Below are 27,743 nucleotides of genomic sequence, written 5' to 3' on the forward strand. Positions count from 1 at the left end.
GGGTGCCAGGAGAGGAGAGAGACCGGGCAGCGGGATCAGATACCCCGGAGCCTGAAGAGACATGCGGGCCTTCCCAGCCGCCAGGGGGCAGGCAGCAGAGATGCGTGGGTCTGGCCGCTGCAGCTGCACCCAGGGAGCTCCAGCCCCATCAACTCGGAAGGGGCGGGGCTCCTGCTTGTTCCTGGCCCTTGCCTGCTCGTGGAGCGAGAGGGCCAGGTCAGCAGCAGCGGGTTGGGTGGCTGCAACTGCACCAGGGAGGGCAGATCCTGCCTGTTCCCAGCCCCTTCCAAGAGCACAGGAAGGCTCGGATCCACAGCTGCAGTTTTGGCTGATGTAGCCCCGCTACGTATTGCAGGAGGGTGGGGCTCCTGCCTGTTACGTGAAGCAGGGGGCCTGGATCTGCTGCCGAGGTTTGAGGTTTGGGCGGCTGCAGTGGCACCCGGGAAGTTTCTGCCCCAAATCAGAAGGAGTGGGGCTCCCACTGACTCCACAGAGTGTGCAGCCCCAGCCCTCCTCTCTGCTGCAGCCGGGGTAATGGCAGCAGCTGTTGCCATCAACTGCATTTGGAAATAGAACCTTAAAAGAGGTACTTAAGTTAAAATGTGGTTTTAGGGTGGGTTCTAACTCAATACCACTGTGCCCTTATAAAAAGAGGAGATTAGGACACAGTCGACAAAGAGGATGACCATGTGAGGACGCAGCAAAAAGGCGACCACCTGGGAGCCAAGGAGAGAGGCCTCAGAAGAAACAAAACCTGCCAACCCCTTGAACTCAGACTCTCAGCCTCCAAAATTGTGAGAAAATTCTTCTGTTGTTTAAACCATCCAGTCTGTAGCATTTTGCTATGGCAGCCGTAGAAAACTCATACAAAGGGTAACAGCAAGAGTCTATTTGTCAAGGTAAGGTGAAAGTTTGGAAAGGACATAGAGCTTGTTTCTTTCTTATTTTTTTTTTTCCCTTTAGGCATTCAGGGCTTGATAAGGCAAACTTTGCTCTTTAAAATATCAACATGTCTTTCAAGGTTCCCACTGAAAAGGTTATTTCATATTGTTCATTTTTGCCCATAATTTTTACTCACTTCAGAAAATAGGCTTTTTAGGAGCCTAGCATTTGCACTTAACTCTCTGAACAGGACTTAAAGAGTGTAACCAAAAGACAGAAAAAGATTACTCAGTATGGAACAAGCGAAACAAAAAAATAGTTGGGGGAGTAGGGTGGAGGATGAAAAAAATGCACAGCGAGGGGGTTGAGTCAGCTCCTGTGTTTCCATGGAGAGGACTTAAGCTTCTCCAGAAGTGTAGTGAAGGCCCCTAGTGATCCATAAAGGTCCTGTAGCTGGCTGCACAGGGGTGGCCAAGGACCAGGGTGTGACTGACAGGCGGCATCTTGCTGAATAGCATTTTTTCACTTGTATTGGTAATCCAAAAAGCACTTGCCAATTGACATACTTTAGGCTAAACAAGAGGCAGAGGTTGTTCTCAGAACTTTTAAAAATTATTATATTATTTCTTAAATTTGAACTTGTTTCCTGTTTTTCTGTGTAAGGTATAAGCTCCATCTCAAAAAAAAAAAAAGAAGAAAGAAAGAAATCTCTGCCATCAGAATTTGCTTAGAATTCTGCTATAGAATGTCCTTATTGATAACATAGAAATAGGATTAGGGATTATTTTAATAATAAAATAATAAACATATACTTTAAGAGTGATCTAAGGCTGCAAAATTTAAATTATATTGGCTGTCTAACTGACCTGGCTAAATACATTTTTTGATTATCAATACATAAATCATGGAGTTAAGTATGTATACAAATGCAGAATTAAGTTCTTCAGCCCTAAATATCTTTTGGTGAATCAATTTAAAATTGCCTTTCTAAATATTATTAGTTATTATTATTAAGCTATTAATATTTACAGTCTTTGCCACTTAGTAAAATGTGACTTTGTCTTAAAGTAGACCAACATGTTTTTATCCATCTGCCAGACTGCCAAATGGAATTTGATCTCTTGAGACACTGTACAATATTGGCCATTGCATTTGAATTAAAATTCTCCTGAAGCTAGTCACTGCATCACTCTTGGAAAAGTATTATCGAACTTAACTGAGCAACAGCACATCACAACACATGGCATTATAGAAAGCACAGAAGGATGCACTTATTCCTTCTAATTGGAAGTTTCAGAAACTGATATCACCCAACCTTTCCTTTTATTTTGAAGTTACATCACTACCCAAGCCTCTGTCTTTTTATTCATGGGTGTGCCTCCATTGTTGCTGGAACAAATCCAGTGCATTAGTGAAAACATTGCCCTCTTGATGAGACTCATCTAAACACATCTGTCATCCACACACATGTTAAAGCATATTCACAATGGCCAATCAGAAAACATTTCTACCTCCAGGGTGGTCAATATAGTTATGCTGATATTGCCCAATCACAGATCAACACTTTCGATCTTTTAATATCCTCCCTGAACAACCATATACTTATTGAATGTTTTTCAGACTGTGCTTAAGTTGTTGAGTCATTTAAAATATGTTTCCTGTCCTTTATTCTCTTATCCACTTTTCTTCTAAAGATGTCTGCATTCTAGCTCTTAATTTTATATTTCTTACTCCACTGAGGCATTCCACATAAATGTATCATCCAGTCTACTACCCTGTGTTTATTAAAATGTATTCTCTACTCCTTCAAAATACAATCTACCAAAGAAACTAACAGCTAACTAAAAAGAAGTGAGGCTAAAACTTTAGTGACCTCAAGACAAGTTAGAATTCTATGGCACTCTAAATCCCTATTGCTGTTGGCTTTTCTGCTTTGCTAACTGATGGCAAGAATTGACAGCCTCCACAGAATATGTTTGATAAATCTTTAGAGGCTAAATTTCCCAGTGGCACTATGAACTTCTTTCTCTGAGGAAGTGGACATTTGGTTGTTCTTAGGGGAAGCTCAGATGTCCTCATGAAGAAACAGCAGTGTGGCTAAAGTATGGGGTAAGCCTTCTCTGTAATTGCCTGTACTGAGAAAGTCAACTGCTGCAAAGATAATGTGTATTAATTTAGTTCTTTTTTGTGATACTTACACTAGAAATTCATTTTTTCAGATTTCTCCCTAAAGCCCTTTGGCTACTCAGGAAGGCCCTGCGTGAAACTTGCCAAGGATTCCATATGACAGGTATCCCCCCGACTCCCCTGTTGCCTGGCACATTTATCTTAGGTGCCCCTGTGGGCAGGTCAGGTGATACACCCCTCACCCCACTGGAGAGTACTTTTGAAAGGTAGGAAATCTGAGTCTTGCTAGCTGAAAACTCTGACTCAGCCTTAACTTTCAAAGTAGAAATGCCCATACAAATACAGTGACTTTTTGTTTCTGACAGAATTTAAACCTCATTGCTATGGTATTAACGGGGATGCTACGGCAACCATAAACTACTAACTATAATTTTCCCTGAAAACAGCTGCCATGGAGCTGTGGAATATTTTCCTTAGACTTTAAAGCATTGACATTTCAAGGAAAACTCAGCCTTCTTGGCACAGTAGAGCTTACTCAAACTAAGATGTCTTAAATAAACTATTTGCACACATGAAAACTTCTATAAATGTGTATAAATGTATTATCGTAAATGACTCATACCCTCAAAAATGATATAATTTTATATAAGTTATATTACATATCATACTATGGTAACCTATAAAGGGCCGATGCCTTATGTGAAATACTTAAAATTTTATGATAAAAAATTTAATTGGCCATGATCATGTCTGTTAAGTCACTCAGCCAAAAGTATAAGGGCAAGAGCACCAGTCTTAGAATCGGGATCACTGTGATATAATTATGGCTTTGATTTAACAACCGTGTCATCTTAGGTACATCCAATTGGAAAGCTGCTCTTTAGAGTGGGTGGATTTCAATTGTTGATGTTACTGATACTAGTGCTCCAACCCAAAAGCCCTCTTCATTCATTCTCTCAGGAAGAAAGGCAGCTTGCTGACTTGCTGTAGTTGAGCCACACACATAGAGTTCAAGTGATGTTCAGTGGTTGTCTATTAGAGACATAATTCAGAATTTTAAAAAAAAATCTAATTAATAGTCATAGAAATAAGTGAGAAGATATTTTAGTCATACAACTATAAATGAAGCTCTGTGTAAATCCATCAGTCCAAGAGTTTTTAGAATAGAAATTGTGGCAGTTGGTATGAAACATTCAAAGGGCAGGAAAATAAAACTGAGGAGCCAGCTCAGACAAATAGTTTAAAAGAGGGGAAATAATTAAAAAAAAAAAACAAAACAAGAGACATCAAGGATCAACCTAAGAGGCAGAATATTCAACAAATAGGAAATTCAGAATAAAATAAATAAAGGGAATAAAACATCCAACCAAAAAGGAATGGGTGAATAGTTAGCAAAACTTAAGAAAATCTTCAGATTCGTGCTGCTAAGTATCAATAGGATTAATGAGGATAGATTCCTAGCTGGATGGATTTTCATGAAATTCACTAAATATAAGGAGAATATTTTTAAAGTTTCTAGCTGGGAAAAAATAGATTATCTGCACAGGAAGAGCTATCAGAGTGGAACTGGACTTCTCATTAACAGTGTCTTAACAGTAGAAGATAATAAAGCAACATCTTAAAGTATTAAGAGAAAGTTATTTTGAACTCTCAGTTATGTATCAGGCTAAATGACGATTAAGTTAAAGGGCCAGATAAAAATGTTTTCAGATACACAGGCACTCAGGAACTTTACTTGATATTCATTGTTCCTGAAGCTGTTACTAAGGACATAATCCAGGCAAAATATGGGATATAAGAAAAAGTAGGACAAACTCAAAGTTTCAGTGAAAGGACCCCTTAACATGGCAGTTGGTCAGTAGGTCCAGAATAGCTTGTCCACATTGAAGCAAGATCTATTAACACTTCTATGCAGATGAATTTAGCTTTTAATCTGTTCAATGTAGGAGTTATTATGCCTATATTCCACATACAAAAATATGAACAAAAATGAATCTACTTCATGCCCATATTCATAACTGTATAAAATAAGAATGACAGCTGATATTTTACTTTAAACACATAGCCCAGATGAAATTTTTAAGCAAAACTCCAACAGGCAGATTTACTGAGCTGTTATGAATGTTTCATTATCTCCTAATTAAAGTAGTCTACTCGCCTCAATTGCCATATGCAAATGGAAACTTAGAACAAATTGATAAAGGGGTTTTCACTTGTAATTGCTGCAATTAAGAAGTATACAAACTGTTTGACTAAACATTTCACCTCTAATAACTTATTATAAGATAATTGAACAAATGTCCAAAATTTAATTTAAAGAATCTTAATTGTAGCATTCAGTGTATTTATTCAACAAATACACGAGGCATTGGACACTTATCATTTATAAACATTAAAAGAAAGGAAGCAGCCTACATGCGTAAAAATAAGTTATAGGATAAGGAAAATTAGAGTATATTCACATATTGAGGCAACAGTCATTAGGATTGAGGATGATATAGAAACATATTTATTAAAAATGAGAAGTCCTCCAATATGAGAAAGCAAGTTACAATATGTTATATGGTCTCTTTTACATAAGTAGGTAACAGGAAGTTTGGTTGGTAAACTCTCTCTTTCCTGGTCATCCCCAAGTTCTCTGTCTTTTTGGAGTTGTCTTTCTCTTGCAATCATGTTGCCCCACAACAGCAAGATGTAGTTTCTTTCCTCCTTACCATTCCTGCGGGTGCTCTTCCTCTAGCACATTTTGGATAAAGATATTTGCCACACGATTGTGCCTAAATCATTCAGCGCTGCCCTCTTCCCCAACGTCTCTGTGGGATCCCTCAGGCTTCTCCGTGTTTGCTGCCAGTTGCCTTAGAACCACCACCATTCTAAACAAACTATCACAAGGACAGAAAACCAAACACCCCATGTTCTCACTCATAAGTGGGAGTTGAACAATGAGAACACATGGACACAGGGCGGGGATCATCACACACGGGGGCCGGTCTGGGGGCGGGGGGCTGGGGGAGGGATAACATTAGGAGAAATACCTCATGTAAATGACGAGTTGATGGGTGCAGCAAACCAACATGACACATGTATACCTATGTATCAAAGCTGCATGTTGTGCACATGTACCCTAGAACTGAAAATATAATAATAAAAAGAACCACCACCCTTTCTTTCTCTCCACTGAAGAGCATCAATATTGGGATTTTCATAATTTTTAAGCTTTTTAATCAGAGATTTGGTAGTGATGGAAGGTAATTAGAGCTCAGAAAATAAACTATTTCAAATATAACTGCTCTGTGATGCCTAGAAATTTACTGTGCAATCTCTTTCCTGTTGGGTTTCTCTACTGCTCCAGTTTTCAGCACTGCCATTTAGAAACATCTTTCCTTAGAGTAGTATGTCTAAAAAAATTTTTAAGTGTCTTTGATGGCCTGATGAAGCTCATGAATGTTTTCTCAGAATAAAGTTTTGAACGAATAATACACAGAATTCCAAAGGAAGCCAATTATATTTAAATATAGTTCTAACAAGGAACCCCTTGATTCTAGAGTCAAATAGACTGTGCTATTTTCTCTTCCTAGTCTATTCAGCTTCTCTAATTGACAGGAACAATGCCAAAAGTACTGCTACTTTTTTCTGTTTTGCCATTTAACTAATTATGTTTACAAAATGGTATCCCTCTAGACTGAGGTCAGGAGGCCCTAATCTTTCACAGGCAAATAACAAGTCAAAGAGTTTTCCAAAACATAGGCCACTGCTTTCCCTTAAAGGAATATTATCAGTCCAATTAGCCCAAACTTTTCATTTTTCTTCTTTAGATGCACATATTTGCTTTCTGTCTCCGTCTCTGTCTCTGTCTTTCAGAGACAGACAAAGAGGCAGATAAACATATTTTTAACAGTTACGATGATAACAAAAGATTTAATTTTAGGCCCCCTTTTCTAAATTATAGGTCTATCTATACCTATAATTTAGAAAAGAAGAAATCTTTACGTCAGACAACCAGTGCTGGGAAAATGAAAAGAAGTGAAAGAAAAAGAAGTTCCACAACTACCCTCTATAATTATCTCTTATGATCATTAGCCTTGTTTGGGAACCCGTTGCATAGTGCCATCAACCACTGTCTAACACTATGAAAGAATTATGTGAGGTTCTTAAAGCCCAGGATATCTGTCATTGCAGACCCTGAATTGTGTGGTGCACTGCCACATCATCTCACTTCAATAAATATACTCTTACCTTCCTGTATGTCAAGATTGAATGAAAGGTGAGACTAATTGCAGTGGGTCTTAGTCATTTAAAACTAGATATGGAAAAAATATACAGGAGAAATTACTAAAGGATTCGCAGTTTTTTTGGATGAGTTAAACCCATGTATAGAAGAATATTTTTGCTATTTAATAGGTATCATTATGTTAGCCATGGTGTAAGGAGCACATCTGGGAATAGTTCAAAAGGAGCCATTAAAAAGCAGCTTTGTCCAGAATGGGTTCTGATACTGAAAATAATTAAAGATAGGCTCTTCTTGATTATCTTTAATTCTAATAGTGTTAGGCTATTCTTGCACTCCTATAAGGAAGTTCCTGGGACTGGGTAATTTATAAGAAAAGAGGTTTAATTGGCTTACGGTTCTGCAGGCTGCACAGGAAGCACAGTGGCATTTGCTCCTGGGGAAGCCTCAGGAAACATCCAATTGTGGTGGAAGGCAGAGGGGGAGCAGGCACATTGCATGGTGAGAACAGGAGCAAGAGAGAGAGAGTTGTGGGGGAGGTGCCACACACTTTTTTTTTTTTTTTTTTTGAGACGGAGTCTTGTTCTGTTGCCCAGGCTGGAGTGCAGTGGTGCGATCTCGGCCCACTGCAACCTCCACCTCCTGGATTCAAGCAATTCTCTGCCTCAGCTTTCTGAGTCACTGGGATCACAGGCACCCGCCACCATGCCCAGCTAATTTTTTGTGTTTTTAGTAGAGACCAAGTTTCACCATCTTGGCCAGGCTGGTCTTGAACTCCTGACCTTATGATCCACCCTCCCTGGCCTCCCAAAATGCTGGGATTACAGGCGTGAGCCACCACGCCCAGCCCACACACTTTTAAATAACCAGATCTTATTTAAATAAGCGAATTCAGAGCAAGAGCTCACTTATCACCAAGGGGATGGCCCAAGCCAATGTGAGGGATCTGCCCCCATGAGCCAAACACTTACCACCAGGCCCCACCTCCATCACTGGGGATTACATTTCAACATGAGATTTGGGTGGAGACAGATACACACTGTATCTATAGAGTTGTTTGCCTGACTGTCCAGAGTCATCTGACTTGTCTATAGAGATCTGAATGTGCCTGAGAACCTATGGTCAAAAATCCATATCAAATATTTATATCATTTTGGGGAAAAGTTTCTTGATTGAGTTAGTTTTCTTCAGTCATTTAAATGCTTTGGTTGCTATTTCCAGCCTTATTCACCATGAAACAAAAGCCACATTATTATTTCTTAATCTGATTTCACTAAACTTGTGAAAAATCCAAGGATAGGGACAGTGTCTGGTGTGTTGCCATTAAGCCTCAGCATCATTAAAAGAACATGCATTATTACAGAACCATGGAATCACTGTTCTTCCATAAAGATTTGGAAAGTGTCTTAGAGACTGGCAATTTCCAAAGTATATTCCTGGAGACAAACTATTGCATGAAGGTGTCTCAGGATGACTGCAAGTGTGATGAAAAAAGAGAGAGGCTTTTTCTCTGCCACCACCCACATATTGCCACTAAAAGCAACTTATTTTTATTCATTTTATGTTTGGAGGAACTGCATACATTTTTGTTTAAATAAACAAGGCTATTAAAATCCCTGTCTACACATCTTCACCACCCACTTTCCCCTTAATCCACTCCACACAGGCTGTCATAGTCCTTGCACCACTGAATTCATTCATATAATGATCATCAACTCCATCTTGGAAAAACCAACATTCAATTTCTGTCCTCATCACAACTTCCTCTTTTAACATCACTTGACACAGAGAGACCCTCCCTCATTCTTCCCAGCTTGACTTTAAACTTGGCTTCTGTCTTTGGGTTCCAGAACCCCACACATTCTCAAGTCTATTCTGCTGACCCCTTCTCCTCTTCCAGAGATCTGAATATGCTGGCACCTCAGACCAACTCTTAGTATACCATTCACTTACTCTCTTCCTGAGGAATCAGATCAGTTCCCATGGCATTAAATTGAATATAGGTTGAAAACTCCCAAATTTGTATTTTCAAATTGAACCTCTCCCCTGAGCTCCAGTCTTCTTAATCCAGTTTACCAGTCAACATCTCTGCTTAGATGATGAATTAGCCTCTCAAATGTAATATGTCTAAAAACAATTATTTACCAGTTTGCCTACATTAATCCATTCTTCCTCAACCTGTTTATTTCTAAATACTCCCCAACTCTTATTTATTCTGTTTCTTAGATAAAAAATCTGGCAGTCATGGTTGACTTCTCACTTTTCCTCTTCTTCGTATCCTGTCAGCCCCACATTTAACATCTATTCTGAATCTGAACTGACAATCTTTCATCATTTCTACATCTCAATCCTATACCAAACAACCGTGAGCTGTTTCATGGATTCCTGAAACCATTAAAATGGACCTGTTCTACTGTTGCTTTTAAGACTACATGCCAAGAGCTGCTAAAATATTTGCTTTATAATGTAGATTACATCAAGCTCTACTAAAAGGTTCAATGATTTTTCTCTGTATCTTAACAAAATAAAATCTAAAGCCTTACTGTGATCTGACTCTGGTCTCAGCTATTACCAGTCTTCATTCTCTGGTTTCCAGGATTACAGATTTCTTTTTGCTTTGAAATGCTGAGCACATTTTATACAAGCTCTCTTCCCTTTGCTTGAACCGCTCTTCCCCCATATCTTTAAATTATTAGTTTCATCTTGCCATGAGGATTTTTCACAACTTCCCTGGCTATCCATGATAGTCTCCACCCTCCAGCTCTTTCTAGCATTTTATATTTTCCTCAGAGCACATGTCATTATTTGCATTTGTCTATTTTTAAATTTGTCAATGTTTTTATTTTTTGTATTGAGCAGCTTCTCTCTCGCTCGCTCGCTCTCACACATACACACACACAAACACACACACACACACTTTTTCTCATTTGGCATTTCTTTGCCTCTTCTTTTTCGGGAATAGAAAGCCAAATTCTTCCTATTTTCTAGAGCAGAGTAATTCTATTCTCTGTAACCTCTACCTTGACTTGGGACTCATAAAATATTATAATTACCCTTTATAAAGAGTCTGCTGCTTCTCCTAGCACTGTGCTACATGTTTTCTTCGCCTTGTCCTTTGATCCTCATGACTATTCCAAAATTAGTGCTCTTATAATCATCATATTACAGACAGGAGACTGTGACTTAGACAAGGACAGGAACTTTTCCATGGTCACACAGCTAGCCAGTGGCAAAGTAACTACATATGGCACTGCCATCACTCCTTTCTCATTACCGCCTCTGCACCTCAGTGTGATTAATAACTTTAGGTTCTGATTTTTCTGGAAGGAAGGTATCTTTTTATCTGATTAAGAGAGATCATTGTCACAGGTGAATGCCTAGATTTAGCCCTTCTAAGGCATATATTGATTTTAAGTGCTATGTCCTTCAGCAAGAAGATTGTCCTCTGCCCGCTCCACTCTAACTCCCCAGAGCCTACTCAACATACTTCCATTTTGACCTACTGCAGTACTAAAATAATTAGAATGAGCAAACCAACACCCAACTTTGGAAGTCTCAAGGCCTGGAACTATGTGTTGTTTCTCTATTAAATCCATTATAAAGCCAGATCCTATTCTATAGGCTTTGGAGAAAAAAAACAAGCAGACAAACAGGAAATAACCTTTTATGAGTAACAAACATTGCTTAATTTTGCATAGAGGAACCACCATATTGTATCTCAAGTATTATTCTCAATTCAATTTCTAAACTTATAATAGTTCTTAGATATTTTTACCTCTTTAAAATCCCTCTTGTTCTGATACTGTACTTAATTTTTTAAAGGTAATTACTATATCGACTTGAGATCAGAGCACTTGGTAAAGTATTTCTCAGTACTATTTTGATGTTCTGTTAATTAAGTCTCAGGTCCATATGGAAATAAAATGGTTTTCTAATATATGTATTTTTTTCTATTTAATTTTTATTAAACAGAATATACATTAGACAGCTTAATCATTCTTAGTAATATTTTAGATTCTAAATTTAAGATAGATATAATTCATGTTTCATCAAATTCTATTTTACAAATAGCTTCGCCAATAGGCCTAAAATATTTGCTGAGTATACAAATGGTAGTAGTTAGTTCTAAGCTCTTTCTTTTTATGATTTAATTAATTTTAGGTAGAAATCCTCTCCTTGCTCTGTATGAGTAACTCTCATAGCCCATTTTGTTTAAAATAGAGACACAACAGACATAATTGCTTGTACTGATATTATATCTTTTAATACAGATAGGTAAAACTTTATAAGTTGCTTAACTGATGCTCTCAAGAAAAGTGAAAAATTTGGGGCTCAGCAGGGTGGCTCATGCCTGTAATCCTAGCACTTTGAGGGGTGGAGGCAGGAGGATCACTTGAGCCTAGGAGTTTGAGACCAGGTTGGGCAACATAGTGAGACCTCTTCTCTACCAAAAAAAAAAAAAAAAAATTTAGTCAGGCATGGTCGGGCTCACTTGTGCTCCCAGCTACTCAGGAGGCTGAGGTAGGAGGATCGCTTGGGGCCAGGAGGTCAAGGCTGCAGTGAGCTATGATCACACCACTGCACTCCCTCCTGCACCACAGTGAGACCCTGTATCAAAAAAAAAAGTAAGAAATTATTTTTTGTTTCTGATAAAAAAATAAGTCATTTAAAAAATTTACCTCCTTGCTTCCTCTGCTTATCATATAGAAATGGTAGGTGTTTTCCCTTCCTCACTCTCCTGCCTCCTCCATTGATTTCTCTTTCCTGTGAGCCAGCCTCTTTTACTCTGCGTGGAGCTGAGGTGCATCTTTGAAGGCCTGCAGGTGTAGTAGTGATGCTAATGGTGGCAGTAGATTCGTCGGGGGTATCCGTTAGATTCCAAGAAAGACTCTATGTAAAGGATAGGCAGGGATCTCCATTTGTCAATATGATCTGGGTGTATTTACATAAATTTGCAAATACATTTATGTACACTGGATTACCATCTTTAAGTATGACAGATTATTGGGAATGAGAAAAGGTACTGACTGTCAATGCCACCAACAATGGATTCTGAGTCAAAATAATCTGGAGGAAGACCTGGGCTGTCTAGATTCTCCTGGATTCATGGTATATTTGTATGCTTTTGGATATATTTAGCATACTGCCTGAATATGGTAGGCATTCAGAAAATGTTTTTAGACTGTTTTAGAAATCTATTTGTGTGACTCGTTTTTATCATCAAAGCAGTAAACTGGCAGCTCTTAATATTATTTAAGAGTGGAGAAAGAAAGGAATGAGAACAAGAAGGTGGAAATAGTGATCACCTTAGAAGGGATGTTTGCCCTTCACCATCCTTAACTGCATTCTTCAAACTTCAGATGTGCTAGTGACGCTTAGGAAGGAAGGGACACAGATTTGGACAGGTTTCCAAAATCCGTGGGGTAGTTTTCAGTGCCCATGCTTGCCCAGCCAATTTGGCAGTTGGCAGAAAATCTGCTCACCTTCAAAGGAACCTACACTGGAAAGTGCCAGTGATTTCATACACAAAGTCAGCTGGTTAGAATTACACTTAGCTTGCATTCAGAACCCAGAAGTAAGTTTCACAGAAATCGCACTAAGCATTCCCAGAAGGACTTTTAAAGTAAAAAAGAACTGAGCATTTAATGTCAGCATCTATTAAATGAAGTAGGCTTTTTATTTTTTTAAAGGTCAAAGTATAGATTATAGATGAGTTTAACTCCTGGCTCTGCCCCCAACTTCCTCTACTACTTTGATCAAGACCCTTGACTCTGGGGAGCCTCAGTTTCCTCATCACTATAGTAAGGTGGTTAAATTAAATTATCTTTAAGAGTTCTTTCCAATTCCAGCATGTGATTCATCCTAAACATCAGGTTTAAAAGTTTCTAATAGACTGACTTTGCCTAGGGAATAAAAATATTCTCTCATGGCCCTATAGCTGTGCAATACAGAAGTTACCCTGTGAGTCTTTTAAATGTTACATGATCTGTGCTGAACCCATCAGAAAATACATCTTAAAATACACATCTCTAATGCTAAGAATGACTTGGAGAAATTTTTGTTTTATTTTTAATTGTAACTTTTTAAAAACACTCAATTTATCAAGTTGATTATATTATAATTACTAATAATAGTATTTCTAATCTGTGTCTAATCTGTATCTAGTTATGGAAGAAAAATTTTCTCTTTTTTTCTTCCACATTAGTCATTGAGTTTTTTCACCAAGCTGCTTGGTAGGATGACAGCAATGTAAGAAAATTAACAATGGTTTTACCACCTTTTGTAAATGAAATATTTAAAGCAGCTAAAAGAAAGTAGCGATTACTTAAGAAGTAAGAGGAAAAATATTAATCCAGGTTGAGGATGTCACATCCCAAATGCCAGAAATGTTTTGGATTTTGAATTTTTTCAGATTTTGGAATATTTGCCTATATATAAGCTATCTTGGGGATGGAACCCAAGTCTAAACACAACATTCATTTATGCTTCATATACACCTTATACACGTAGCCCAAAGGTAATTTTCTATAGTATTTTTAATAATTTAGTGCATGAAACAAAGTATGTGTACCTTGAACCATCAGAGGGTACTGGTGTCACCATCTCAGCCACCCATGTTGACAATCTGTGGTTGTTTGGCATCACATCTTTCCTGACACTGAATTTGTATGCCACTGATAATCATTTTCTCATCCTTATTCACATATAAGTACTTAACAATAAAAAATGTGATGTTATTAACACAATGAAAAAATGTTTTCAGGGTAACTAAGCAATCCAGTAGCATCACCAGAATACCTGTATCAGCTGTTAAACAGCAGTAACAACCAACAACAGCAGGCTTTCAGCCTCCATCTACTATGCTGTTTTGATTAAAAGGTTACCATACAAAGTTTTTTTTGTTTGTTTTTTTTTTGAGAGAAAACATTAGAAGCAGTTGAGGGGCTGAGGGATCAGAAAGTGAGTTTTCTGGGGATGAGGAGGCATTCTGCTGGATGGATTTTTAAAATGTTTCCTTCAGGATCATCTGCCTCATTAACAATGACTTATTGTCTTAGAAGTCTCTCTTTGATTTGATAAGCTGACATGATTCCTTATTCATTTATGAATGCATGCTGCTTTAGCCCTTCAGGAAGCCCATCACACATTTTAACCGTATTGTCAATAGGCACTTTTTCTGCAGTTTTAAAAAGGCCACCTTCATTGTCACTTTTTCATGATCACCTTGCTTCAGAACCATCTAGGCAATTTCACCATCAATGAATGAACAACTGTCTCATCATTAGTATTTAAAACTTCTTTGATATCCGCTTCTTGCAGGATTCTTGATGGATTCTGAAGGTATATTTTGCATATATAATGGGGTCAAACATAATTTTTTTCTCATTTGACATACAAAATCTTTCAAAGTCATTGCTTTGTTCCTAACCATCACTGAACATAGTCGCAGGCCAGATGTTATGCCAGGCATGCACAACTGTATCTTTAGTGACTGTGTTCCAAGAACTGGCAATAGCATATATAGCATCCTTCATGCTACACTTCTTTTGAAAACCTTTGACACCCACACCTCTGTTCACTGCTGCTAGCATGCTATTCAAGGAAGTGTTTATGTGTTTACTCTTCATGGATCTAAGGATACTTTTTTCATATGGTTGAATTAATAAAGTCACATTTGGGGAAAATTACATGCATTAACATTATTTTTAATGAGAATTTCAGCTGTAGTATGAGTGGAACAGTTGTCAAGCAATAACAATATCTTGCAGTCATCATCCAGTCCAGCTTTGCTGCAATGAGTGCAAACCACTGATACAAAATATTTGTGAAACCGATCAGAAAAGATGTCCCTGGTAATCCATACCTTTTTGTTAGTGTAACAATGAACTGGTAAGAAAGTCACTCCTTGAAAATAGCTGTAATGCAAGATTTAGCCTATCACAGTAAGTTTATAATTATGTGTGCCTGCAGCATTAGCACATCTCAACACAGTTATTCCCTGGCATTCTTAATTCCTGTGGGGGCTGACACATCGGCTGTAGTCCGTCTTTCATGGACAATAACACCAAAACAATGATGTCTTATCAGCATTATAATCTTGTTCTGGCATCAGATTTTCATCAGCAATGATCTTGGCAAAGTCTTCAATGAATTTCTCCACTACTTCATGTCAGTAGATGTATTGTCACTGTGAATCTTTAAAAATTTAATGCTGTGTCTTTTCTTAAATTTCTACAGTCAGCCCGTTGAATATTCACAGTTCCCTTCCATTTAAAGTTCATTGTGATATATCTTTGTTTGTTTCATGATCAGCATACCATCAAGTAGCATGTGTTTACTGCAACACCAGCAGTTCCACACTTTCAATACATGATTAAGACCTTCATTTTTAGCTTTATGCAGTGTTTTTCTATTTTTCCTTACCTCTGTTCACTGCTTTTACCATAGAACCTCAATGGTTTATCCTTCTATTTCTTTAGGTCATATATGGAGGTCATCCCAACACCGTCATCTGCTCTAAGATGTTTTACACTTACACCATTGTTCATTTTCCCCAGCGGTCTGACTTTCTTTGCTATGTATGCTGCCTCTTTTATTTTATTTTTTAAAATCACTATTATAGGGCTTCCTGACATTTGAAACATATCTTTACATCAGAGAACAGAGAATAAACAAAAAAAATGATGAGTTAGTCAGGCACAGTGGCTAACTGTAATCTCAGCTAATCAGGAGGCTGAAGTGGAAGGATCTCTTGAGGTCAGTTCAAGAGCGGGCTGAGAAACATAGTGAGTACTCATCTCTAAAAAAAAAATTTTAAAAATTAGTTGAGTGTGGTGGTGCATACCTGTAGTCCCAGCTACTGAGGCTGGAGGATTGCTTGAGCCCAAATATTTGAGGTTGCAGTGAGCTATGATCAGGCCACTGCACTTCAACCTGGGCAACAAAGTGAGATCCTGTCTATAAAAACAAAACAAAACACACTAAAACACGTAAGTCTTAGCCCCTTGAAGGGCATCCTGGGGAGTTAATCATTGGTACATCCAGCCTCCACACATGCAATTTTATTATTTTTTGTAGGCATGATTGCATGGGGAGATTCGGACTTGAACAGAAGAAATATATTGCAGCTGAAGGTGGCTGGGAGGGTCTTTTTGCTTTTGGGGACACTGAATAAACTGTATGTTGTGTGACTATGTTTTGACTGTGACCCGCTACCTAAGGTCAGGTGTGGAAAAATTTCCATTTCAGATTTTTATTTTTGGATTAGGAATGCTTAACCTGTGTAATGCAAATCACATGCAAACCAACACTGCTTAGAAAATTGAGATTTAAAAAGTAGAATTTTTGGTATACATTTTCTGTCATTTAAATTTATTATTCCTTACTTGGAATTTAAGTCATCTCTAAAATTGTACCATCTTAGAAATAGTAGCAGCCATTTGATGGGTGCTTATAGCTATCTTTGTTCTATGACATTATAAGTAATGTAGAAACACAATTCACTTCTAGTCATGTAAATCCTATTGTAAAAGATACCTCAAGAAATAATTTTAAATGAAAATTGCTGCCGTAAGTCTTGAGAGTAATTAACAATGGGATTATATAAAATGAGTCAATATATGATAATGATGTTCCACCTCTACTTTTTATACCGTTATATATTTAAACTTACATGTATAGAATTTAATTTATAAAACACCCATGTGCTCACTATCTAGGTTAAGGAGATGTTATATTTTGCATGTTGGCTTCAGCTGACTTGTTTCCTCTCTCTCCCACGTACAGTAGAGTCTCTCAATATTTACCACCACAATTTCATTTCTTTCCTCCATCTTCTCATAAATGTTTTTATTTTTAAACTGCATACATACGTATATAGAAACTATAGAGTTTTGTGTGTTTAATACTTTTATAAATCATTTTATATATGTGTCATTTTCCAGCTTATTTCCCTCAAAATTATATATGCATTTAAGACAGCTTTAGCTCTAATTTATTAATTTTAATTGTTTTATAGTAATAAATGAATACACGAAGATGCATTGTTAACCCTCAGTATTAGCTTGCTAAGGCTACCATAACAAAGTGACATAGACTGTATGACTTAAACAATGAACATTTATTTTTTACAGTTCTAGAAGCTGGAAGTCTGATGTTAAGGTGCCAGCAGGTTTCTTCTGAGGCATCTTTTCTTGGCGTGTAGATGACATTTGTCTTAGTTCAGGCTGCTATAACAAAGTACCACAGGCTTGTTGGTTTATAAACAACAGATATTTATTTCTCACTGTTCTGGGGGCTAGAAGTCCAATATCAGGGTGCTAACATGTTTGAGTTCTTGTGAGGGTGATTTTCCAGGCTACAGACAGACGTCTTCTCATATTCTTACGTGGTGGAAATAGGAGGGACCTCTCTAGCTTCCTTTTGTAAGGACATTAATTCCATTAACGAGGGCCTCACCTTGGTGACCTAATCAGCTCTCAAAGGCCCTACCTCATAACACCATCATATTGGGGGTTAGGATTTCAACAAATGAATTTTGGGGAAACACAAATATTCAGTTCATTGTAGCCATCATCTCACTGTGTCTTCACATGGTCTTCCCTTGGTACACCTCTGTGTTCAAATTTCTCCCTCTTGTAAGAACTCTAGTCATACTGAATTAGGCCCACTGTAATTACCTACTTTTTACTTAAATACTTCTTTAAAGACTGTCTCCAAACATAGTCACATTCTGAAATACTGGGAGTCAGGAGTTTGACATGAATTTTGGGGGTACAAAATTCAGCCCATAACATCCTGTTAATAAATATTTTTATTCTTTCCAAAGTTTTGTTTTTAAAAACTATGGCTGCTATAAAATTCCTGTTAAGATATCCTTGTGGTTGAGGATTTCTCTAGGGTATATACATAGAAGTGATATTCTTGTTCATAGCTTAGGCTTATCTTCTCATCACTAATTTTTACCAAATTTCTTCGATGAGGTCATGACAATTTTTTCTTCACCAGTAACACATGAAAATTCCTGTGTGTTGCTACACATTTTCACCAACACTTAGTATTATCAAGCTTTTTATGTTTTGCTCAATTTGATAGAGTGACAACTTGTTTTAATTTTTATTTGTTTACTAACAAATTTAAGAATTTTTTAGCCATGCAGTTGTTATTATCCTTTTAGTTTTCGTATCTCTGAATTGTCTCTTAATATCCTGTTTTCCTTTTTTTTTTCCTTATTGATTTGGAAGACCTTGTGAACTATTTTATATCATTAGTTATTTTTGTTTGCAAATATTTTCTTCAAGTTTGTGAAATTTATGTATTTTTATTGTTAAATACTTACATTTATTGAATAAAATAAATAAATATTTGGTCGTTTTCTCCTAATCTCAATCTGCCAGTTTTTTTTTCTCTTCTCTTTTTCTCAAGATGTTATCTGAAGAGGTCCCAGGGATAATGTTTTGAAAAGTACTACGTAAAATTATTTCTAAGTTATCTCTGAAGTATCTCAATTAATTTTTTAATAAACAAAATGTTATTAATAAACATTAAAAGTTATTTTATTATTAAAATATACTTTGGTTCAATAATATCTCTTCTATATAAAATTTAATTGAGATAATTTAGAGATAACTTAGAAATAATTTTATATAGTACTTTTCAAAACATTATCCCTGGGACCTCTTCAGATATCACCTTGAGAAAAAGAGAAGAGGAAAGAAAGATCCGGCAGATTGAGATTAGGAGAAAAAAACAAGCAAATATGTATTTATTTTATTTATTAGATATCACAGTAAGATGGTCTCTGTGTTTTTGTTTTTATTGTATATATTTAAGGCATACAACATGATTACTACCGTCAAATAAATTTACATATCCGTTATCTCACAGTTGCTTTTTCTTCTTTTTTCTGTGGTATGAGTAACTAAAATCTACCCCCATTAACAAATTTATGGTATGTGATACAATATTATTAACTATAGTCCTGATGCTCTACGTTAGATCTCTAGACTTATTCATTTGAGACAACTGTGTCTTTGTACCCTTTGATGTATATCTCTCCATTTCCCCAGCCCCCAACACTGGTAACCACCTTTATACTCTATTTTTATATATTCATTAAAAAAACTTAGATTTGACACATAAGTGAGATCATGCAGTGATTTTCTTCCTTTGAGTTATTTTACTTAGTATAATGCTCCCTAGGTGCAGCTATGTTATAAACAGCAGAATCTCCTTCTTCATTTAAGGCTGGATAATACTCTATTGTATGTGTATGTATGTGTTTGCATACATATGTCACAACTTCTTGGCTGTAATGAATAATGCTGCAATGAATATGGGAGTTCGTATCTTCATGAAGTGGTGACTTCATTTCACTTGGATATATACCAGGAAGAGTGATTGCTGGATCATATGGTAGATCTATTTTTAATTTCTTTAGGATGCTCCATACAGTTTTACACAATGGCTGTACTAATTTACATTCCTATCAAGAGTGTAACTAGGATTCCTTTTTTTCCACATCCTTGCCAACTCTTGTTATCTCTTATCTCTTTGATAATAGCTATCCTAACAGGTGTGAGGTTGTTATCTCGTCGTGGTTTTGATTTGCGTCTTCCTGATGATTAGTCATGTTGAGCACATTTTCCTATATTTGTTGGCCATTTGTATATCCTCATTGAAGAAATGTCTATTCAGGCCATTTGCCCATTTTTAAAACTTGTTTTTTTTTTGCTATTGAGTCAGGTGAATTTCTTATGTACCACTCCATTGGTTGATAGATGGTTTGTAAATATTTCATCCCACTCCACTGGCTGCCGTTTCATTTTGTAGATTTTTTACTTTGATGTAGTTACACTTGTTTTGTTTTTGTTGCCTGTGCTTTTGGGGTCATATAAAAAATATCATTGCCAAGGAAAATATCAAGGAGCTTTTCCCTAGGCTTTCCTCTAGGAATTTTACAGCTTCAGGTTTTATGTTTATGTCTTTATTAAGAGTTCATTTTTGTGTGTGGTGTAAGATAAGGGTCCACTTTTATTCTTTTACATGTGGATATCTAGTTTTTCCAATACCATTTATCAAATAGACCATCTTTTCTCCATTGAGTTTTTCCCTTCCCCTTCCCCTTCCCCTTCCCCTTTCCCTTCCCTTTCTATTCCTTTCATGACAGGTTCTCACTCTGTCACCCAGTGGCACAGGCTGGAAGGCAATGATGTGATCACAACTCACTGAAGCCTTGAACTCCTGAACTCAAGAGATCCTCCCTTCAGCCTCCCGAGTAGCCAGGACTACAGGTGCGCACCACCATGCCAGGTGAATTTTTCAAAATTTTTGTAGAGATGGCGGTTACACTATGTTTTCCAAGCGGGTCTGGAACTCCTAGTCCCAGGAGATCCTCCCACCTAGGCCTCCCAAAGCACTGGGATGACTGGCATGAGCCATTGTGTTTTCTTAATGGCCTTGTTGAAGTGACCATAGATACTTGGGTTTATTTCTGGGCTCTCTATTCTGTTCCATTGGTCTATGTGTCTGTAGGTCGGTAACATACAGTAAGATTTTCTTAACAAAACAATCAGTATTGATATATATTCACTCTAATTTAATTAATGAAGTTCTACATCTGTCATGATAAAGTAAGATTCTATTGAATCCTACCATCCTGCAGATAATTAGCATAAACTCAGTACTAAATCGAAGGAAACAACTATAGAATAAGTGGAACAGTGCATAGAATTAGAGGTATCTTGGAGCAGAGTGAACACTTGAAAGAATTTATGGCATAGATGAATTACTCATTTTTATGATTTTTACATTCAGATCAGAATAAAGTTAGCTCCATGAGTGGCAGTTAAAATTCGACAGAGACATCTGCAGTTTCTCTGGCTCACAGAATCACAGGTCAAAATTAAGGGCAATTGTAACCAATTGAAATCAAGGGGAAAACTCTGTAAAGGTGAATCAGAGATAGGAAAAGATCCTAACTGTGTGTAAAAATCTGCCCCAAATATTTGACTTAACTCTGAAACACACATGCAATTAAGACACAAACAACCTAGATAAGGGAGTAAAATAATTGAATTTAAATTTGAACTACCACCGGGAGACAGAATTTGAAGTTTGAGTTCAATCAAGTTAATTGCCTGCTTTAAGAAAAAAAGCATTACTCTTTCAAGGAATAAAACAATCCATAGGCTCCACAACATAGCATTCACAATTTCTAAACATATGAAGAATCAGAAAAAAATGTGACGAATTCTCATGAAAAAAGATAAGTATAAAAGACCAATCTTGAAATGACACATTGAAATTAGCAAACAAGGATTTATAAACAGCTATTATAAATATACATAAGGGCATAAAGTCAAATATGTCTATAATGAATGAAAATGTAGGAAACATCAAAATAAAAATTCAACATATAAAAATTTTAGAACTGCAAATACAATGTATAAAATAAAATATTCACTGGATGAGCTTCCTAGCAAAAGAGGAAAAATTAATAACCATGAAGATATACTGTAGAAATTATTTATGTAAATGAGATAAAGCAATGGAAGCTAACAGTTTCAGGGACATGTGAGATAATTATACATGGTCTAACATATGTCTTATTGAAATCTAAGAAAGAGAAAAGAGGGAGAATAATACAAAGATATTTTAGAGTAAAATAGTCAACAATTTTCAAAATTGTAAATTATTAAATCTAGAGACTCAAGAAGCTCAGAAAATTCCAAGCAGGATAAATAAAATAAAGCTACACCTCAGCATGTCAAAGTAAAACTGTTAAAAGCCATTGGTAAAAATCAAATTTTAAAAGCAGCCAGAGAAAAAATAACCGTTACATACAGTGAAAAATATTAAAATGATGGCTACATTTTCATTAAAAAATTATAAATCCAGAACACTATGGAAAATGTTTGAAGTGCTGAAGGGAACAACTGCCAACCCTGAATTCTATTACAGCAAAAATATTCTTTAAGAATGAAAGCTATACTAAGAGGAAATCTTGCTTCCAAAAAAATCGAGTAGATATGCTTTTCCCCATTCCTCCAACTAAATATGACTAAAAACTTGGGACATTGTGTGTGCATGTGTGTGTGTGAGTGTGTAACCGTCTCTCTATCTCTCTCTCTATATATACACACACATAAAATATATATAAGAAGGCTTATCATATATATAAGAAGGATTCATATATATATATAGAGAGAGAGAGAGGCTTTAACAGATGGAGAAAAGTCAGACTGGCTAGGTGGCTAGGGACTCTAGGACCCAAGGAATGACATATGATGATGAGGTTTCTGGGCTTCTTTCTCTTTTTTTTTTGCCACATATATCCCAGACATGGAGCTGAAGAAGCTGGCAACCCAGAAACATCAGGGGAAATAAACCAAAAAGCCCCAACAAATGGCTGCTTTCTCTAGCTAAGGACCAGAAAATGGGCAACCTATCAAGGCGAAGAACTCTTAGACAATAACCTCTCTATTCCCAACAATGCCATGGATAAAACTGTGACCTCCCGACACACCAACCGACCTCAAGAGAAAAGACTGAGAGAAGTGCCTAGACTCACTTTTCCCAGGCACTAGAGTCAACAACAAATTGTTATTTTTACCTTTCCAAGACAATTAAAAAAAACTCAAAACACTTTAGTCCCTTTTACCTTCTCCAGCCTTTTGTGCTTGTATCATGCATTTGAGTTATATGTACATTTTAAACCTCAAAAGATATTATTATTGTTGTGCAGCATAAATACTCATTGAGTTTTCCCCACGTATTTACATTTCCCATGAATTTTTATAATTCTCTGTTTTTCTGTGGTCTCAGTAGAGATTATTTCCTTTAATCTGAAGTCTCCTTTTAGTGTTTCCTTCAGCATGTGTCTTCTGCTGATGAATTCTTTCACTTATCTTCACGTTTGATGTTTTTCAATGGGTACAAAATTATTGGTTGGCTGTAATTTTCTTTTAATACTGGAAAAATATCATTCTCTTGTTTTCTAGCTCTGTCACTTCTTTTGAAAAGTCAACTGTCAATATTGTTATTGGTCCGTTTATGGTGATATGGAATTCATTTGGGGAATGGAGCTGATTTTAAGAAATTTCTCTTTACCTTTGGTTTTTATCAGTGTGAACATGATGTGCTTAGACATGGCAGTTAATGCTTGAGGGTCACAGAGTTTCTTGAATCTGCAGCTTGAAATTTGAGAAAATTCTTATGCAGATTATCTTCAAATATTCCTTTCCTATATTTTCTGCATTCTCTTCTTTTGCTTCTATTAATGTATTTGTATTTATCTTTTCACTCTAACTGTATTTCACATGTTTTTGGCTTACATTTATTTTTCATTCTTTCTTGTCTTCATCCGTTGGTCTCGATGTTTCCTAGTAACCTATCTTCCAGTTTACTAATCCTTTCTTTTTCTGTGTCTAGCATGCTGTTAGTCTATCTATTGATTTTATAGTTTCAGATACAGATTTTTTTTTCAGTTTTAAAATTTTCATTTGATTTATATATATGTATATATTCAATTTGGGGTTAAATTATACATCTTTTTTTTTACTTATTAGTTATTTAAAAATCCATATATCTAACTCTAATGTCATTCTTGCCTACAGCCTGTCTGTTGCCTATTTTTCTCTGGGTTTTCCTTATTTCAATCTATATATATTTCATCCTAGATGTCCATTCAAGTGCATTACAGATATTTTGTTTAAAAAATTATACAGGCTCTGATGTTAGAGATTATCTTGAATCAGTTTAAGAAGTGAGATAATTGTTCACTGTGTTGTAAGGTCTATGTAGATTGATTTATTTCCAGTCTGCTCCCACCCTATCATAGACTTTTAGGGGTCTTAACTGAAGGTCTAAGGTATTTACAAAGGAAGGCTCCTCTTCTTTGGCCAAGTCAAACGACACTTTTTTTTTTCCCTCCCCAGTCCCGTAAAATGCCAAAATCTCTGCTTGGCTTTTGGGCCTCTCAGTAGTCATTTTTCATTTGGTTTATTCCCTTCTCAATTCTTTAAAGCTTTGGTTTAGGCCCATTTCATAGCCTAAAAAATTGGGTGAAGAAATTGGGAAGAAAAGGCATACCAAATACGAGACTCACTTCTCTGTGGCTCCTTTGTTCTCCAGGATTTGCCTGCTTTGATAGCTCTTAATTGGAATTTTTGTTTCCATAACCGTGTGGGACTGCTTAAAGCTCCAGGTTGTTACTGTTCTGGAGAGAAAGAAGCGATGAAAAATGTGCCCACCCACCTCAATACATTTTTCTTCTCCTAGTGTTACTGACCTCTCAAGTTGGGCTGTCTTTTTTGATGGCTAATGTTTGCAACAACCATGGATGTTGTGTTGTCATTTTTGTTGTTTTCTATCCAGCTTTTACAGGTTTTCTTGGTCAGTGAGTTGGTTTGATACAAGCTACTCTGTCACTTTTAAAAACAGAAGTCTTAGAGACGATGCACTTAAACAAAATCAATACAATGAAAAAAATTATGGGAGGCTGATTTATAAAAATGAAATTATAAGAAAGGTAACACTGAGTTTTATTTGACCCCAAGTAATATAGCCAAAAGGTTAACAGTGTCAACGTAAGTAACTGTTGAAGTCAGAGAAAAGAAATATACCTGCTAGGCTCAGGGATGAAAAAATTAAGAGTTTTCAAACCTTGATACTAAAATGGGGAGAGACTGTTAAAAATCATATAATAAGAGAAATACCTGAGTGCACAAAGTGTTTGGTCTGGATGAAAGTAGGTATGAATGGGGGTTGAGATGGAATTAAAGAAGACTTTAAGTATTTGATCATTTCAGTGAGGAAAGTAGAAATGATCTGAATTGATCTGGATAGCTAGAAAATTTCGGAAAGTATTAAATTGGTGCAAAAGTAGTTGCTGTTAATGGCAAAACTGCAATTACTTTTGCGCCAATCTAATAGATGTTGCCTAAATCAAAAAATAATACTTTTAACCATTAAGGCTATCCAACACTGCCCTGGGGTCTTCCAGAAAGTGTTAAGTCACTTTTAATACTTAATATTACATTAGTTGATCACAGACATTGATGTTAAAAAAGAGATTTCTTAATTAGGGGGTGAGTTGCATGGTGATAGAAAGACAACAATTATTATTATTTTATTGAGAGTGAATTATATACCTGGTGCTTTATATATAAGCATCTTAAATTAAATACAAATTTAATACTTATGAGTACAATACTTATTGAATACTTATAAGTTTAGGAATTAGATCTAATTTTTATTCTCACTTTACAAATGAGGAAACTGAGGTATAGAGGATAAATAATTGGCCTAGTGTCAAGCAGCTAGTAAAGGGAGGAGGTGCGACTTGAACCCAGGTAACCTATCTCCTGAGACCACACTTTTAGACATCACATTATGCTGTCCAAGTTAAGATTGGTTAACTTTATAAGCTGTTAGTTATCCTTAAATAGATGGGGTATAAACAACAGCAGTCATATTAACAATGTGTAGTTTATTTGTTTACCCTTAGAATAATGTTGCAAATAAAATAGTTACAGATTCTGTTATTTGCTATGTGCTTTAACAAATCAGTATAAAAAACAAAGGCTATGACCTAACAAAGTTTCTTTTCTAAAGAATTCAGACATAAAAGCATATAAGGTACTGTACTGATATATAAAATTTGTCAATCTGTGCATGTGTGTGCATATAAAATAAATTTACCATGCAGGTAGCCATCTTATGTTTTAATATACCCTTACCTAATTATAGTAGTGAACTTGATGAAACTTGGAAATGCTATTTATTATGATTTTAATACCTACCTTGACTATCCTGGCTGACTCTTTAAAATAATTTTTAAAAGCACACTTTTAGAACTTGCTAGGCAAATGATTCTAAGGTTCTGTTTGTTATCCAAGTTATCATTCCATAACCTTTGTCAGAATGTTCTCTCTTATTTATGACTGAAATCCTGCAATAGAAACCAAAACCTATATGCCTCTATTACTATACCAAATGAAGGCAAGTTTCATCCATTATGTGTTTGGACCTATTTGATGCCAGCCAGTTAACAAACATTAACCTTTTCCTAAAGATGTCTTTATAATTTTTTTTGTTCAATTTCTCATATGTTGAAGAATCAATCTTTAATTTTGCCTCTCATGATTAATATGAGGACCCACAATAGAAAGTAACTGAAAGTAGGCATTAGATTTACTATATTTGAAAGGTTCACAAAATAACATTAAAAAGTGCTATTCTACCTCAGTATGATTATGACAGCTGACCTCCTTAATTAACTCTGTAGCTACATTTCAGATTTTCTCAGAGCCCTTGACACAATTGTTTCAGGGTTTGTTTTAAAGCCTATTTTTCTCTTTCATTTAAAAAAAAAACTTCAAAGGAGTCTGGTATTTCAGAAAACTGTCAAGATGTGTTGAAACGTATTTAAAAGAATGCATAGTTTCATGAATTGGCGTGGTTTGTGCACATTATTATTTTTTCAGGTTTTTCGCTACATATAAAGAAGGATAAGAATTCTGTGTGGGGGAAATATTATGGTTGTCACAGGGCAAAGGGGGTCATCCAGTATCTTTCACTTTTCTCCAGAAGAAATTAAGAGAAGAATTCATCAAATGTTAATGTTAAGAACTCAGAAACTCTGGAATGTTTGTCCAGAGTCCCAGGCCTCAGAGCAAATGCTCTTATGCTGCTGGGCTCCAGGGAAAGATTTCAGCCAAAGTCAATATGCACAGAAACTCCATCTGACTGAAACTGTGGAAACAGCTGTAACTACTTAGCTGGAAAACCACCTTAGATTCCTCTCCCAGAATACGCTGATGACATGGGAGATGGGGAGCAGGAAAGCTCTGTCAGGATCTCTCTTCAGCTGTGGTCAGAAAAAAAATATTTTCTTTCCCTGAAAGCTGTAAATAGATGGGTTTATCTCTGGTCATAATAAACCACCACCACCCCCCTAAATTTCTTTTTTGCCCTTAAATTTGCCCATGTCTCTTCCTTTCTTTGTGTATTAATCAGTATTTGATTTAAGTCATCTTTTATGTGAAATTTTTAAAAAGATCCACTTGATCTTAGATACATCTTCTAAATGTGATTGGATGGGATTCACATTAGTATTAGAGACCAACATGGTCAATGGATGTTTAATTCTGATAAGGTTTCAATTTATGAATATATACATAATTCTTTGGTTTGAGATTTTATTTACCTCTTATTGTTCTTCATGGTACTTTTTTGCATTATTCTTAGAAGAAAATAAAAAATGCTACCAGAAACAACAAGTAAATGTTTTTTTCAAGTTTACTGAAGTATGAATGACAATTAAAAATTGCATATATTCAAGTTGTACAAATTGATGATTTGATATATGTATACAATGTATGTATACATACATTGTTAAATATTCACTACAGTCAAGCTAATTAACACATTCATGATCTCACATAGTTACTTTTTTACCTGGTAGGAGCACTGAAGATCTACCCTCTTAGCAAATTTCACATAT

General features: G+C 36.1%; 1 long non-coding RNA gene across 2 annotated transcripts, besides 1 other annotated feature; it reads left to right on the forward strand.

Moving 5' to 3' along the window:
• LOC105377950 (uncharacterized) lies at nt 178-27,516 on the forward strand. 2 transcript variants are annotated; one of them, XR_942885.3, is made up of 4 exons: nt 178-899; nt 3,102-3,172; nt 20,406-20,529; nt 22,578-27,516. It is a non-coding gene; the product is annotated as an uncharacterized LOC105377950 (long non-coding RNA). The 2 variants fall into 2 exon arrangements; XR_001744305.2 differs by having other exon boundaries at nt 20,406-20,548; nt 22,578-22,882.
• Nucleotides 200-728: an enhancer, noted in NCBI's record as "H3K4me1 hESC enhancer chr6:113201341-113201869 (GRCh37/hg19 assembly coordinates)". NCBI's record gives its function as "activates a minimal SCP1, AML or CMV promoter by ChIP-STARR-seq in naive H9 embryonic stem cells {active_cell/tissue: H9 hESC(naive)}" and the evidence as "EXISTENCE:reporter gene assay evidence [ECO:0000049][PMID:30033119]".
• Nucleotides 27,517-27,743: the final 227 nt, after the last annotated feature.

This window comes from Homo sapiens, chromosome 6, assembly GCF_000001405.40.
Source record: "Homo sapiens chromosome 6, GRCh38.p14 Primary Assembly".
NCBI classification, from domain to species: domain Eukaryota; kingdom Metazoa; phylum Chordata; class Mammalia; order Primates; family Hominidae; genus Homo; species Homo sapiens.